This window comes from Homo sapiens, chromosome 3 (assembly GCF_000001405.40).
Source record: "Homo sapiens chromosome 3, GRCh38.p14 Primary Assembly".
Taxonomy (NCBI): domain Eukaryota; kingdom Metazoa; phylum Chordata; class Mammalia; order Primates; family Hominidae; genus Homo; species Homo sapiens.
The window spans coordinates 118,942,987-118,960,065 of record NC_000003.12 but is presented as its reverse complement, the minus strand read 5'-3'; the positions used below and the strand labels follow the sequence as shown (position 1 = coordinate 118,960,065).

Genomic DNA, 17,079 nt, shown 5'->3' with positions numbered 1-17,079 from the left:
ATTTCTTTTTTTTTTTTTTTTGAGACGGAGTCTCGCTGTGTCACCCAGGCTGTAGTGCAGTGGCGCGATCTCCGCTCACTGCAAGCTCCGCCTCCCAGCTTCACGCCATTCTCCTGCCTCAGCCTCCCGAGTAGCTGGGGCTACAGGCGCCCGCCACCACGCCCAGCTAATTTTTTTTTATTTTTAGAGGCGGGGTTTCACCATTTTAGCCAGGATGGTCTCGATCTCCTGACCTCGTGATCTGCCCGCCTTGGCCTCCCAAAGTGCTGGATTACAGGTGTGAGCTACTGCGCCCGGCCCACATTTGTTGTTTCTTACCAACAACAGCAGCAGCAGTAATTAAACACACATGGGTACACATACACAGCTATTCTCTCTAATCAAGACTTCCTCAGGCCATGCTCCCCTAAAAATTTAGGATACCTATTGTCTGTTTTCTTTGCGGAAAACCACTAACTATTCATAGTAGTTGCTCTCTTTCTGTGAATTCAACAGTGACAACTGGCTAAGAATGGCTTTGGTAGTCCTTTGTTTGGTTGGGTCACGTTATCCATGTATGTTATTACTCACCTATTATTCCATCATGAATAACCCTTGACATAACTCTGTAAGGCATTTATTGGAGTTTCGTTTGTCTAGAGTATGGTACCACTTCCTTGCTGTTTATTCTTCTCCCTGTTTTTCCATATCTCACTACTCAAACTGTCCACAGTCTTTCCCTTTTGAGCCAAGCCATGTCTATCTCTTCCTTTTCTGACATCCAGTAGCATATGTAATCTCAATCAGGAATGTTACTTAGAGGCTTGTATCTTGTCTAAGCGGAGACTTGTGGTCCACAATTCGTGGCAGGGAGCATCATAATAGACTCTCTGTCTAAAGAAAACTCTTCTACACACATTGCAGAATGGGTTTTCTATTTGTACTCCTTACCAAATCCGTATGGCACCTCTAAAGTGCAGCTTTAACATCTAATATGATGTATCCAACATTATTTACCAGCAAAACAGCCTTCTCTCCCCTACACGTATTTTGTAGGTGCCTCTCCAGTCCATAGAATTCAGCAAAAGTAGAATTTCTGCCAGAAGGAAATAGGGGGAGTCTGCACTTGGAATTTATGAAATGAAATGATGACTTCTATTAATGTTGAGAATCTCATTTGCTGCTTTCGTATTCTCCACGGTTCCTAACTCAATTCTAAGGGCAAAACTCACCCTTAATAAATAGCTGTTCTCTGTTTGTCTATACTTCTGTTTCATCGTGTTATTATAATAATGTGTTTGGTGATAATTAAGTGTTGAAGAACATCTATTATAAAACACACTTATTAATCCTTAATGTCACAGACTGACCTTGTCATTATATCAGCTTTTTACTCACTGCAAGTAAATCTAGCATTCTTCATTTTTGAATTCATTCTAGTGGTGGAAACAATCATAACTATAAAATGTTTATATTTCTTGAATTTATTATACTGAATGTGCATGCATGCTTTGTAATAATTTTTTTATCTTGCTGCTTATAACATTTTCTTGTTTTTTTTCCACTGACTAGGGAAAGTTGGAGACTAATGAAATGCATGGCTATAAGATTCCTGGCCATAGTCCTCATATAAGCATCTCTGAATACAGCGTGATAAGGAAAGGGAAAAATTAACAAATTTAGTTACAAAATATTCTATGTTCCCTGTCCTTTTCACTTTAAAGCATAAATGGTGGTCAGAATAATGGTAATAACAATGGTTTCTGGATTCTAGTTTATTGCCAACATTTGTCAACTTTCACGTATTTCTTTCTTCTTTTATGGAAGGACAGTAATGATGTTCATCATTGGCAAGGCTAATTGTGAAATTTACTTAACCTTTCTTTTAGTAGACTTTGAATTTTTTCCTACCTCCTCTGAAATACTATACAGAAATTTGGGGAAGTATCTGTAATTCTGAGAAACAGAAGAAAAAAGGTGATTTTCAAGTGATTCTAGAATAGGCACTGTTAAGTTTAATATTTCTTTTCCTTCTGAACTTCCACTTTTGTATTTTAGCACCTTTGATTTTATGAGGAGGGCTTTTCAGCTATTGTAAAACTAGCTTATTTTGCTAATGTCTTCCTAGTCAAATTGGAAACATGTAATAGGCTTAGTAGCCCAGAGAAGGTAAGAAAGGTAGAAGTTTGTGGGTTGATGTCCTTTTTGGAGGCAAAGAAAGGAATGCTAGTTATTTTATCCTTGGTCAAGTTGGTAACAAAACCAGGCGTTCCTTTGTTTAGCCTATAGACAGAGCACTTTCTGCTTAAGCCTCTGCTGGCAGTTGACTGCTCTTTCAAAATAGGAATTACTTTCTACTTTACCTCAAAACAGAGGTAAAGTGGAGACTAGTAATTGCATTGAAAAAATTATGTTTAAAATATGTTGCTTGTGAAATAAATAGTGATTGGAGAAAATAAGCTAGCCTACAAGGAATGGCGAGTGTGATGAGTAAGAGCATGCATGCACTCTGGGAGCAGACTTCTTATATTCAAAATTTGATTCTGATAAGAGAATACTATTAACAACTCTATGTCGACACATTTGTTAGGTGAAATGGACCAATTCCTTAAAAGACACAATTTGCCAGAACTCACATGAGAGGAAATAATTTAAACAAGCCTATGTCTGTTAAAGAAATTGAATTAATAATTAACTCTGTTTAATTTTATGTGTAAACTTGAGTGGGCTGTGGGTACCTAGATTAAACATTTTTTTCTGAGTGTGTCTGTGGGGTCTTTCTAGCTGAGATTAGCATTTGAGTAGTTGGACTAAGTAAAGTAGATTGCCCTCCCCAGTGTGAGTAGACATCGTCTAGTCAGTTGAGAGCCTGAATAGAACAAAAAATGAAAGAAGGAGGAATTCACCTTTTTTTCTTGCCTTACTGTCTGAGTTGACAAGTCTCATCTCATCTTCTGCCCTTGGACAAGGATTTGCATAGTCAGGTCCACTGCTTCTTAGACCCTCAGATTTGGACTGAGTTACACCCAGGCTTTCCTGGGACTCCTGCTTGTAGATGGAAAATCATGGGACTTCTCAGCCTCTCCAATCTAGTGAGCCAATTCCTCTTAATAAACCACCCCCTGCCCCACAACACACTCACAGAGGCATACCTTGTTTTATTGTGCTTCAGTGTATTATGCTTCACAGATATTACATTTTTCACACATTGAAGGTTTAAGGCAACCCTGCATCTAGTGAGTCTATCAGCACTGTTTTCCCAACAACATATGCTCACTTTGTGTTTCTTTGTCACACTTTGGTAATTTTCACAATATCTCAAACTTTCTCATTATTCTCTGTCTATTATGATGATCTGTGGTCAGTGATCTCTTTTTTCTTAACTCTGCAGCTTTGTAGCAATTAGCAATCTTTGATATTACTGTTGTAATTGTTTCGGGGTGCCATAAACAGCCATATAAGATGGCAAACTTAGCAAATGCTGTGTGTGTTCCGACTGCTCCACTGATCAGCTGTTTGCCTGTCTTTCTCCCCTCTGTCCTGCCTGTTCCCTGAGACAAAACAATATTGAAATTAGGCCAGTTGATAACCCTGTAATAGCCTCAAAGTATTCAAGTGAAAGGGAAGAGCTACACATCTCTTGCTTTAAATCAAAAGCTAGACATGATTAAGCTTAGTGAGGAAGGCATGTTGAAAGCCTAGATAGGCCAAAAGCTAAGCTTCTTGGTGTTAAACACTCAAGTTGTGAATGAAAAGGAAAAGTTTTTGAAGGAGATTAGAAGTGATACTCCAGTGAACACACAACTTATAAGAGAGTGAAACAGCCTTATGGCTGATATGGAGAAAGTTTTGATGGTCTGGATAAAAGATAAAACCGGCCACAACATTTCTGTAAGCCAAAACCTAATCTAGAGCAGTGCCCTAATTTTTTTCAATTCTGTGAAGACAGAGAGGCAAGGAAGGCACAGAAAAATGTTTGAAGCTAGCAGAGGTTGGTTCATGAGGTTTCAGGAAGGAAGTTGTCTTCATAACATGAAAGTACAAGATAAAGCAGCAAGTGCTGATTTAGAAGCTGCAGCAAGTTATGCAGAAGTTCTAGCTAAGATCATTGATGAAGGTACATATACTAAACAACAGATTTTCAATGGAGATGAAAAACAGCCTTCTGTTTGAAGAAAATGCCATCTAGGACTTTCATAGCTAGAGAGAAGTCAATGACTGGATCCAAAGGTTCAAAGGACAGGCTGACTCTCCTGTTAGGAGCTAATGCAGCTGGTGACTTTAAGTGGAAACCAGCACCCATTTACCATCCTGAAAATCCTTGAGCCCTTAAGAATTACACTAAAGCTCCTCTACCTGTGCTTTGTAAATGGAATAACAAAGCCTGGGTGATAGCACATCTGTTTATAGCAGGGTTTACTGAAAATTTTAAGCCACCTGTCGAGACCTACTGCTTGGAAAAAAAAAGATTCTTTTCGAAATATTAATGCTCATTGACAATGCATTTGGCCAGCCAAGAGTGCTGATGGAGCTGTACAAGGAGATTAATGTTGTTTTCATGACAGCTAATGAAACTGGATCCTCATCTCTCACCTTATAGAAAAATCAACTCAAGATTGTTCAAAGACTTTAATACCTGAAACCATAAAAATTATAGATGATAACCCTCACAGCTTAGCTCCCACCTGTGAGTAAGAACACATGATATTTGGTTTTCCATTACTGAGTTACTTCACTTAGAATAATGGTCTCCGGTTCCATCTGGGTTGCTGTGAATGCTGTTATTTCATTCCTTTATATGGCTGAGTAGTATTCCATGGTGTGTGTGTGTATGTGTGTGTGTGTGTGTGTGTGTGTGTGTGTGTGTATGTACATATACATACATACATACCACAATTTCTTTATCCACTCATTGATTGATGGGCATTTGGGCTGGTTCCATACTTTTGCAATTGCAAATTGTGCTGCTATAAACATGCATGTGAAAGTATCTTTTTCATATAATGACATTTTTTCCTCTGGGTAGATACCCAGTAGTGGGATTGCTGGATCAAATGGTAGTTCTACTTTTACTAGTAGTTCTTTAGGGAATCTCCACACTGTTTTCCATAGTGGTTGTACTAGTTTACATTCCCAGCAGGAGTGTAAAATTGTTCCCTTTCTACCTCATCCATGCCAATATCTATTTTTTTTATTATGGCCATTCTTGCAGGAGTAAGGTGGTATCGCATTGTGGTTTTGAAGTGATTTCACCATTTGATAGCATTTACCCACATTTATTCATTCTGTGGTCTATCAATCAAGGAATAACTTCAACTATCAAGTCTTCCTATTTAAGAAATACATTTCATAAGTATTGAAGGAAATTAAAAATGCTACTCCAGTGAACACACAACTTATCCTTTTCATTCACAATTTGGCTGTTTGATGCATTTTGTCACTGCCATAGAGAGTGATTCCTCTGATGGATCAGGGCAAAGTCCACTGAAAATCTTCTGGAAAGGATTTACAATTCCAGATGCCATTAAGAACATTTTTGTCATAGGAGGAAGTCAAAATATTAGCATTAACAGAAATTTGTAAGAAGTTGATTCCAACCCTTGTGCATGACCTTGAGGGGTTCAAGGAAGTCACTGCAGATGTGTTGGAAATAGCAAAATAACTAGACTTGGAAATTTATATGGAACCCCCCAAAAAAGCCTTCATAGCCAAACAAGGCTAAGTAAAAAGAACAAATCTGGAGGCTTCACATTACTTGACTTCAAACTACACTATAAGGCCATAGTCACCAAAACAGCATGGTCCTGGCATAAAAATAGGCACATGGACCAATGAAACAGAATAGAGAACCCAGAAATAAAGCCAAATACTTACAACCACCTGATCTTCAACAAAGCAAAGAAAAAGATAAAGTAAGTGGGGAAAGGACACCCTATTTAACAAAGGTGCTGGGATAATTGGCAAGGTACATGTAATAGAAGAATGAAATGGAATCATCTCTCACCTTATACAAAAATCAACTCAAGATGTATCAAGTTCTTAAATCTAAGACCTGAAACCATAAAAATTCTAGAAGATAACATTGGAATAACCTTTCTAGACGTTGGCTTAGGGAAGGACCTCATGACCAAGAACCCAAAAGCAACTGCAACAAAAACAATGATAAATAGATGGGACTTAATTAAACTAAAAAGCTTCTGCACAGCAAAAGAAACCATCAGCGGAGTAAACTGACAACCCACAGAGTGGGAAAAAATCTTCACAGTCTGTACATCTGACAAAGGACTAATATCCAGAATCTGCAAGGAACTCAAACAAATTAGCAAGAAAAAAACAAACTATCCAACCAAAAAGTGGGCTAAGGCCATGGGACAATTTGCCAAAGAAGACATACAAGTGGCCAACACACATATGAAAAAATGCTCAACATCACTAATGATTGGGGAAATACAAATCAATACCACAATGCGATACCATGTTACTTCTGCAAGAATGGCCATAATAAAAAAAATCAAAAAATAATAGATGTTGGCATGGATGAGGTAGAAAGGGAACAATTTTACACCTCTGGTGGGAATGTAAACTAGTACAACCACTATGGAAAACAGTGTGGAGATTCCTTAAATAACTATTAATAAAAGTAGAACTACCATTTGATCCAGCAATCCTACTGCTGGGTCTCTACCCAGAGGAAAAGAAGTCATTATACAAAAAGATACTTTCACATGTGTGTTTATAGCAGCACAATTTGTAATTGCAAATATATGGAACCAGCCCAAATGTCCATCAATCAACGAGTGGATAAAGAAATTGTGGTATATATTCATGTGTACCATGAAATAATAGCCATAAAAAGCGTTGAAATCATGGTATTTACAGCAACCTGGATGGAGCTGGAGACCATTATTCTGAGTGAAGTAACTCAGGAATAGAAAAACATCATGTGTTCTCACTCACAGGCGGGAGCTAAGCTGTGAGGGTTCAAAGGTATAAAAATAATACAATGGACTTTGGGAAAGTGGGGAAAGGTTGGAAGGGGGATGCGGGATAAAAGACTACATACTGGATACAGTGTATACTGCTCAGGTGATGGGTGCACCAAAATCTCACAAATCACCACTAAAGCACTTATCCATGTAACCAAACACCACCTGTTCCCCAAAAACCTATGGAAATAAAAAAAAGTTAAAAAATAATTTTAAGATCTCAGGAAAAATAACAACATAAAAACAGGAGTTTTCCAAATAAAGTGATTTCACTATTTGATCAGTGCATTCAAAACTTTATTAATATAATTCCTTTAAGTGCTTGTGTCTTATGGGTCATATTTCAGTTTTAAGATCTAATTTTTACTTCTCATTTTTGTGTATCTACAAGTTTTCTGAAAAAATCATGGGAAATTCCAGTAATATTTATACCCTAGTTTGACAAATGCTCAATCATCTTTATCTTAGAAGCTTATTCTATCTTAAAAAAATGGAGCCTGAAGATGTGATTGAATTGTTGCAATCTCATGATAAAACTTTAACAGATAAGAAGTTGCTTCTTCTGGATGAGCAAAGAAAATGGTTTCTTGAGATGGAATCTACTCCTGGTGAAGATGTGAACAATGTTGAACTGACAACAAAGGATTTAGAATATCATATCAACTTAGATGATAATAGCAGGATTTGAGAGGATTGACTCCAATTTTGAAAGAGTTTCTGCTGTAGGTAAATGCTATCAAACAGCATTGCCTGCTACAGAGAAATCTTTCATGAAAGGAGTGTCAAAGTAGCAAACTTCACTGTTGCCATATTACCACAGCCACACAAGCTGTCAGTAACCATTAACCTGATCATTCAGCAGCCATCAACATTGAGGCAAGACCTTCTATTAGCAAAAAGATGATGACTCACTGAAGGCTCAGATGATCGTTAGCATTTTTAGCCATGAAGTGTTTTTTACTTTAAGATATGTACTGTTTTTATATAATGCTACTGCATACTTAATAGACTACAGTATAGTGTAAATACAACTTATATGCACTGGGAAACCAAAAAATATGTATGACTTGCTTTATTGAGATTTTTACCTTATTTTGGTGGTCTGGAAGCAAATCTCTAATATCTCTGAGGTATGTCTGTATGTATACAGTCAGTCCTCCATATTTGTGGGTTATGCAGCCATGGATTCAACCAACCACAGATTGAAAATATTTTGGGAAAAAATTTTAAAAAAACACAATGATAAAACATACAAATAGAAACAATACTATATTTACATAGCATTTACGTTGTGTTAGGTATTGTATGTAATCTAGAGATGATTTAAGGTATTTGAGAGAATATTTGTAGGTTACATGCAAATGCTGTACCATCTTATATAAGAGACTTAAGCATTTGGGGATTTTGGTGTCTGGGGGGTGTCCTGGAACCAATCCCAGTCGATACTGATGGGTTGAACTAATATGGGTGAAGAACTTAGAATGGTTCCTAACACATAGTAAATAACCAATAAAGGGATAGATATTATTATTAGTCTATTATTATTTTTAAAAGAAATATCACTTGAAGCTTTCTTGAAGTGATGTTTTGTGAAAAAGAATCTGAAAAATAATATTACCACATTTTGTAGGATAGAAAAATCAAATGCTTATGTGTGTGTGTAGTTGTATCTGTGTGATGGAGAATTAGAAAATGTTAAGATACAGTGGCCAACTGGGGAGTACCCTGTCTATAAGTTTCAATTTAGATTAAAAGCCAAAATACTATGATCACCAAACCATACTCATTTGTCAGCCAGCTTTGGTCTATGAATCACCAGTTGCAGTCCCTGATATAAGGTATACATGCATCAAGCATAGCTTAGTTCTATAAAAAGACTGAGTATTTAAAGCTGTGCTATCTGTCATGCTAGCCATTAGCCCCATGTGGACATCTAAATTAAAATTCAGTTCCTCAGTCACATTAGGTACAATTCAGATGCTGAATAGCCACATGTGGCTGCTACTATGTTGGGTGGTGCAGATACAGGACATTTTCATCATTACAGAAAGTTCTATTGGATAGAGCTGACCTAATGGCTTGTAAATATATTCATTCATTACTGTCTACCAACTTACCCATTCCTTGGTGAGAAATCACCAAGCCAGAGCCAGCAGACCTGTAATACACAGTACTGTAAGACTGGTCTTATGCTACTTAGCTGTTAATCTGCTCCCAAGCAGCAGCTTACAAGTTTGTTTTTGAGGTTCCCCCAACCCCATCAAAGCTCTTGGTTTGGTGACTGTAGGCCTCTGGCATTAGTTGATTGTCCAGGTTGAGGAGAAAATTCCATAGGGGAACAGAGTAATTCATTTTCCCACATGACCTTCTGTCTTGACTTCTAACACCATACTTTTAGTTTTGCCTATTATTAACTTGATATAAATGGAATCATTTATACATTATTATAATGTATTATTATAATGTATCTATTATATAGATACATTATTAATAGCTTTCCAGGCAAGATGGGGAAAATTGAGTTGGGGTATATATATGTTTGCGTGTGTGTATTTTTTTCACCCACTAGGAGAAATACATCAGTGAGAAACCTTAACCTTGAATATTCTCTATAAAATATATAAAAGGCATATTACCTTAGGAATTTTTTACTGTGTCATAATACTGTTGTATCTCGTCGTGGCAATCAACATTTGCTATCACTAGAATAATGCTTTATTGTTTATGATAGGAAATAACAAAATTTTAACCTTAATGGTGATTTGAAGAATTTTTACTCTGTTAGAACTTAACCGGAGAAAGCTTGAGCTGGGAGGAGGTGATATAACGGATCAGATCCCTTAGGGCTATTCAGGTTAGTGGATAGGATTGTTTCTCTTTTGCCATTCATGATGGAGCCTGCATGTTACTCCTTAAACAGAGAAAGTATAGAGTGAGTGTGTATGTGCTGTGGTTTCTTTAGAAAGAGTGGTAGCATCAAGTATTATATGGTTAATGGGAAGTAAAAATTTATACTTCCATTCCTGACTCAATAAATATTAGGGATAATTCTTTATATTTTCCCTCTTTATTGAGGGTTTGCATTGGTAATTGTTCCTTCCCCTCTCCAGCAGAACCTAATTTATTCTAGGCCTTGGGCTTGAGGACTAAGGCCAATTTTCATTGGTAAATTAATTTCAAACATTACCCTCCCATTAGAGTAAATTCATCACTTTTCCCTAAGGGAAGGTATGCAGAGGCTTTTTGATCTACCTGGAACAGCTGTTTGCTTAATCCTTTCTCCTGGGGCTGTGTGTTACAGTAGAAAGAAAGTGAACATCATGAGACTTGAATTTTAGTCTTGGCTTTGATAAATTTTTTGGATTACTTTATGCAAGCTTTGGATTACTTTATTACTCCGTTCCTTATTTTGTGTGTAAAATGAAGGTAACAGCAGCAATGCCCACCTAATTTGCAAGAATGTTGAGAATAATACATGCAAAAGTGAAACTGCTTAGAGCCCTCAAAGGAAAGATAACAGATCTCAGGTTGAGGTTTCATCACATTTCAGCTATGCATGCTTCATTGTTCAAGCCTCTTAGATGTTAACAACTATGGAGTGTTTAGATTTCAGGAGAATCTTATTCTTGAAGTGGTGTTTGTGTGGTTTTTGTGTCTGTATATGTTCATGTGTTGTATTTCTTTTCAATAATGTGAGTGGTCAGACTACCTATAGGGTTTTTTAAGCTTCTGGGCAACTCTGAGGCAGAGTATAACTTTTTTTTTTTTTTTTTTTTCCTCAGGTGGCTAAAGCAATCCTAGTGAGACAATGGCATGAGTAATAGTAACAGAGGAGTTAAGCAGTTGTGATTTTCTGCTCCAATAATAGAATGGTAAAAATCTTTGTTCTTTGTTTTGGTTTCTTGGGACAGATGGTCTTGGTGGCTGTTGACATTTTCTGTGGACTCTCTGGTGCCTCTTGTGCCCTTTGTCCTCTATGCTACCCTGGTTGAACCAGGGCCGAAGAGTATCCATTTTCCTATCAGTTATTTTATGAAGTTTATCAGGATGTCTTTGCCTTCGTTATCATTTTATATAAAAAAATTGTGCCTTTAAATGTAATGTTTGCTTGCTTTTTTTTTTTTTTTTTGAGACGGAGTCTCGCTCTGTCGCCCAGGCTGGAGGGCAGTGGCGCGATCTCGGCTCACTGCAAGCTCCGCCTCCTGGGTTCACGCCATTCTCCTGCCTGAGCCTCCCGAGTAGCTGGGACTACAGGCGCCCACCACCATGCCCGGCTATTTTTTTTTATTTTTTATTTTTAGTAGAAACGGGGTCTCACCGTTTTAGCCAGGATGGTCTCTATCTCCTGACCTCGTGATCTGCCTGCCTTGGCCTCCCAAAGTGCTGGGATTACAGGCGTGAGCCATCACGCCCGGCCTAATGTTTGCTTTTTAAGGTTCTTACAATTTTCTCGTGAGGAACCAGGGATAAATTCCCTGCGTTTGAGCCATAGAACAGGACAACAAATGGCTGTATTTACTATGACATCCAACACTAATCCTCCTCATTGACTATTACCACCCTGTTTACCAGACCCAAACTTTAGCATGTAGACCTTTTCCCCACTTAACTTGAGTTTCTGGTCAAGTTAAGGATTCTGTAATCTCCCATTTTGTGGGAACTTCATTTCTTGTGTTTTGGGGCTGAGCATGCTGCTTTCGTATCCACTTCTTTCAGAAGTCTCAAGTTTTCATGTAGACACAAGTCCCTGAGACCTGCCGTGCCCCAGCAGATTTCCTGCAGATAAGTACTCCTCTGCCTTTTCCTCCCACAACCGTTGAATTCTTATAGTAATTTCTGAGCGCAACAGTGGCAATATCTTATTTTCAATACAAAATACATTTATTATCTGATATGTCCAAGAATCTGTGTTGCAAGAAAGACACAGTGCGTTTCAGCTCTTTGGTAACATTCCTTACATTTTACATTTTGCCATTTGCAAAGCACTTTCACAGCATGTTTCTGTGTATATATTTAACATGTGTGTATATATACACATACACGGGATAGAATTGCTGGTTCATAGAATTTGCGTATGTTTAGAAAATTGCCAAACCAGTCAACAATAGAATGGATGATTAAGTTATGGTGTATTCCTGAATCCAAGTATACTGCATAGTAATAGAAATAAATGAACTATAGCTATATTTAATAATCTGTATAAACCTTACCAACAAAAGTTGGAGCAGAAGAAGCCAAACACACACAAAATATACAGTATCATTCTATTTATATCAAGTTAACAATAGGCAAAACTAAAAGTGTGGTGTTAGAAGTCAAGATAGAAGTTACCTTGAATGGGGGAGGGTAGTGACTAAAAAGGGGCACAAAGAAGGCTTGTTTAGGAATCTGGTAATGTTCTGTTTCTGGTTTTACACCATGTGCTGGTTACAAAGGTGTGTTCTTTATCAGAAATCATTGAGAAGTATGCTTGAGGTGTGTGTTTTTTATGTCCACATACTTCAAAACGCTCACATGAAAATGTGAATTTATAGCCAGCTTTATCTTATTTATAACAAGTATTGGATTTATTTACTGTTGTAAATAAATTCTTTCTTATTTATCCATCAATTTAAAGAACATTTATTTAGTTTTACTTCTGGATTATAACAAAATCATTTCTTGTTGTCAGTCTTACTTACATAATCCACACCTCAACAGCCACTTTCTTCATGAAACTTTATAATTACTGCTCTTTTGTTGATATCTAACCTGGATAACTGATTTCATCCCTAAATCCTCAGATTGTGCACGTATATGTTTGTTGGATGCTTCTATGTTTGTTAATTAGTTGCAAGCCATTTTGCACCTAGTCATATCGTTGTCACAAAACCACAGACAACTTTGAAGAGTAATGAATTTTCTGAAGGATTAAATTGGAATGTTGTGAGGCTCCCTCTCTAGTTCTTAGGGGGCTGGAGGATAGGCGTTGGGTTCAGTATATCAGAGGGTATGCACTGTGCGAAGGAAAGTTGTAGTTGATGTCGAGGACTGCTGCTGCTTCTGGTCTCAACTGGAAGTTGTTTTAGGAGGAGAGAAAAGAGAATAATTTTAAAAATTATTTGGAAGGAAATTACTAATATTGTTTAAGCAGTTGTAGTACCTTAAATTCTTAACAATTTTCTCAACCCTTTAGCTAAGAAGTTGGTGGAAGCAACTCCTGACCTCATGATCCGCCCGCCTTGGCCTCCCAAAGTGCTGGGATTACAGGCGTGAGCCACTGCGCCCGGCCATGTGCATTTGTTAAGCAGTTAAAAACGTTAAGCCAAAATAAAGAAACAGTGATAGCAGAGTAGGGAGCGTTGTGCCCAAAGAGTGACTGTACTCTTATTGTTTTACCTTGTCATAAAAATGCTTGTTAGTGGTGACCCTTTCTAGATTTTCTGGTTTTAAACTCAGGAGAATGACTAATGGGGTAAGAAGTGCTTTTCACCAGCAGTATGACATACATTGGACACAAAGTCATAATCCTATAACATGACTACTATGTCAGTCTTATTCAGGAATAGTAAGGGAGGTGAAAGCCCATTCTTCAGGACTAAGCATTGAGAAATCTGTTTGTTGGGCCTCAAAAGATTTCTTTCTTTCCTCCTCTTCTTCTTCTTTTTTTTTTTTAAGTAAAATAGGCTCATTTTAGAGATTAAATCTGTTGTAAAGTGCTATAAATAGGTTGCAAGTATAAGTGCTATAGAAAAATTACAATAATACTATGCTAGCCTAGTGTTTTAGTGGTTAGTCTTCCATAGCAATATGAAATTTCGGGGGGAAGTTGTGTGATTTTTTTAAAAAAACATTACTGAATTCATTTTTCCGGATTTATATATATATATATGTTTGTGTGTGTGTGTGTGTGTGTGCGTGTGTGTGTGTAGCCAATGGTTAATAATGTACGTATATTTTTTGTCTTCCCATCTGTTTCTTGCTACTGCAGTTCTGTGGTTGCTATGGAGAAGGTTATGATAAGGAAAAGCACAATAAGGTTAAAAGTTCTTCTCTGTATCTGGGACAGAAATAACAGTCTCCTACCACACCATCCTTTTTTACGCCCTCTGCCCTCATGTGATGATCTTCAATACTGCAGTGCCTGTTGCTGACGGGAAGATGGTTTGATGCTATATTTAAAAAAATTACACAGAGGAGCTAATTCTCTTCTTTTTTGCTTCTTTTAAGGTTGATGACTTTCATCATTTTAATCTAGGCACAGAACAGAAGGAGACAATAAGCATATTAGGATGAATTGTCAACCCAGGACATTTCTGGTTTGTGTGGGTGGTTTTTTCCTTTAATTTCATTTGTGTGTTTAAAATTTTATTTATTTTTTATTTGCTGATATGAGGTAAGAAAAGCTTAGAGAAAGGACCTGATGTGGAACAGTTGGGATTTAGTTAATCTGCTTAGAAATAACACTAATCTCTAGATCAGATGCTGTCAACAATACAGTGCCTTCTATCCCCATTATCTTCCTCTATTCTTTCCTTGCTTATTCTTCCGGCACTCTGTGGTTTCATTTAGTCTTATCTTTTCATTTCCTACCAATTTTTGTTTTTTAACATTTCTTTCCTACTTCTCATTTACATTTCATTTTTGAATTTCACCACGGCTTCATCATGGGAAGTTTTTTGACTACTCTGAGGTGACAGGGTGGAAAGCATAGATATGTAATAACTCATGCCAAAATAAGCTTCTTCCTAATATATGCTTAAGAGTAACTTTGTATTACTTTTAATAATCACAGTTGTAGGTCTCTGTCAAAATAAGAGTATGACCACAATTTTCTTGAGAAGTTTGATGCTACTGGGACGATTATATGACTAGGTGAATACATGCTATTTTCTTTCCTCTGTTTTCTGGTTTTTTTTCCCTGCTTATTTGTATGTTAGGTTATTTTTTGAGATCAAATTCAATTGCTATTTATTAAAAACCTCCTTTGTGCAAGGCATTTAATGTATTTTTCTTCAAAGTGATTTTGTGAGGCAGATATTTTTATGCCTTTTCTTAAAGATGTCAAAAAACTAAAGCCAACAAGTTAAAATAATGTGCCCCAGGCTACACAATTAGTCAGTAGCTGTACCTGGATTCTATGTCCTGTGCTCTTTTCAGCATTCCTCAGAGGCTTTAAGTAGGAGTTAGGAAAGGCTCTGGAGTCACACTAGACATTGTTTTGAATCCCAGTTCCATCTCTGGGTCTCAGTTTCCTCATCTGTAAAATACGATTAATAATCATATCACCTCCAAGTCTTGTTTGTTACTAAGCTTTATATAAACCGCCTAAAACAATACTTGGCACATAAGTTCTTGATGAATAGCATCAAGTACATTGAACATCAAATATATTGAACATTTACTGTATTATGGTCTCTGTGTGCTGAGACCCGAGCATATAGGTTCTACTTAGAATCAAATTGAGAAAGGCCTCTATTAAGAGAATTTAAAGTGTCGTGACTATATCAAGGAAGTACAGGGTGTCATGAGGGCATTTAAAAAGGAAGGGTAGTCTGTTCTGGAGGTCAGCAGAATTTTGAAATCTGAAGGATGGGTAGAAATGAGAGGGATCGTGTGTGTGTGTGTGTGTGTGTGTGTGTGTGTGTGTGTGTGTGTGTGTGTATTTCAAGCTAAGGCAATAGACCACATAAATCTTAGATGGGAGAGTGCAGTGTGTTGCTGAACCTGAGAAAAGCCCACTGTGGAAGAAAGTACTGTAAGACTGGCTGGAAGAACAGGCAAAGGTCAGATTAAGCAGAGCCTTGAAGGTCATAGAAAGTAAACCTAGATACATTGTATTAGAACCTAATGATGATGCCATATTACCTCTATCTCTATTCCTAGACTTCAAGAGAACTTCTAAAAGGATAACCAAACTCTTTACTTCCACATTTAAAATATTTGTATGTTAAAAACTGAAGAATGCTTTAAACTAGTTAGAAGTTAAATTAGTACTAACACAAACATATCTAAAAATCAAGAAAAATTTTAAAAATAGTGTTTAATTTGGAAAGAAGCAGTGTTACTGGTGAACAAGAATAAAATATTTCAGTTGAGCCATTTTTAAAAAGAATTTAATTGGTTTCAGAATGTAACATCCTTCCTGATGGTTTCAGATGGCTTTATTTGTTCATAAATAACTCTACTTGTTGATTTAGCCACTTTTGTCATATGAATGCTTCATTAAACAAATGGAGCTTGCTCATTATAGCCAAGTAGAGCTATATTCAACCAAGTGGTGAAGTTGAGAGTACATGGTTGTATTTAACAGCAAAGGCCCTTTATCTGGCCTCTTGCCATCTGGAAACTCTAGATAGCATTTCCCAATATAAATCTCAATGTAGTAACCAGACTGATAAGGACATGCAACTATAGCATCACAATGTCAGAGAGTGTTCTGTATACAGGAAAGAAAAATACATTCTTCTCACCCTATTCATTATCCAAGTTAAAAGCCTAGATTTTCAGAAGTCCTTTAGAAAGCTAAGCAGCAAGAAATTTTATTTTCTCTGAAAAAGGCCAGTCACATGGAAGTTCAGATTTGGCTAGAGGGTTATCATTGTAATAAAAGACAATCCTGAAATAGCGAAAAAATAGCCCCTAGATTCTGTCAGTTTTCTCTGCCCATTCCCTGCCTTGTCTTTAAACTATGATTTCTGAAATTTTTGAAAGCACAGAGATCTTTTTTAAAGTCCTTATATAATGCTTAGGGCATTAAGATTTATTTTTAAACTTTACTCATCATTTCTAGGCTCCACAAAGTTTTGTAAGAAATGTCTATCTGTTTTTTAAAATGTCAAGTTGAATTCAAATCTGAGACCCCTTTTTAAAAAAATCATTGTGATAATTATCAATTATTGAGGCTCCCCTCTATATGCTGCAGTCTGTCTTACAGAGCCACAATGCTGGGAGGACCCCTCTGGTCTTCTGTGGAGTAACTGCTTTTTGTTCGAGCCCCTTGTTCAAGCCCGCAGGATCCTTTGTGTTGCTCTGCAGCTTCTGTGCCTTGTAGGACACATGGAATGTTGTGATGACCAGAGCTCCAGTCTCCAGGACAGCCATACTCTTTGAGGCACCATTATTTCCTTTGTCC

General features: G+C 37.1%; 1 protein-coding gene and 1 long non-coding RNA gene across 12 annotated transcripts in view; one reads left to right on the top strand and one right to left on the bottom strand.

Moving 5' to 3' along the window:
- Window positions 1-17,079, top strand: part of IGSF11 (immunoglobulin superfamily member 11) — a 245,464-nt gene that overhangs the window by 185,955 nt on the left and 42,430 nt on the right. For 2 of the 11 annotated variants that reach the window (NM_001353326.2, NM_001353325.2), the window contains exon 2: window positions 10,748-10,837. The exons of the other annotated variants lie outside the window; for them this stretch is intronic. The gene's annotated coding sequence lies outside the window, so the exon portion shown is untranslated. The remainder of the gene's footprint in view (window positions 1-10,747; window positions 10,838-17,079) is intronic. 11 annotated transcript variants of the gene reach the window in all.
- IGSF11-AS1 (IGSF11 antisense RNA 1) lies at window positions 11,825-16,990 on the bottom strand. Its single transcript, NR_046230.1, has 4 exons — window positions 16,880-16,990; window positions 15,076-15,204; window positions 14,031-14,198; window positions 11,825-13,017 (listed from the first exon to the last, which is right to left on the bottom strand). It is a non-coding gene; the product is annotated as an IGSF11 antisense RNA 1 (long non-coding RNA).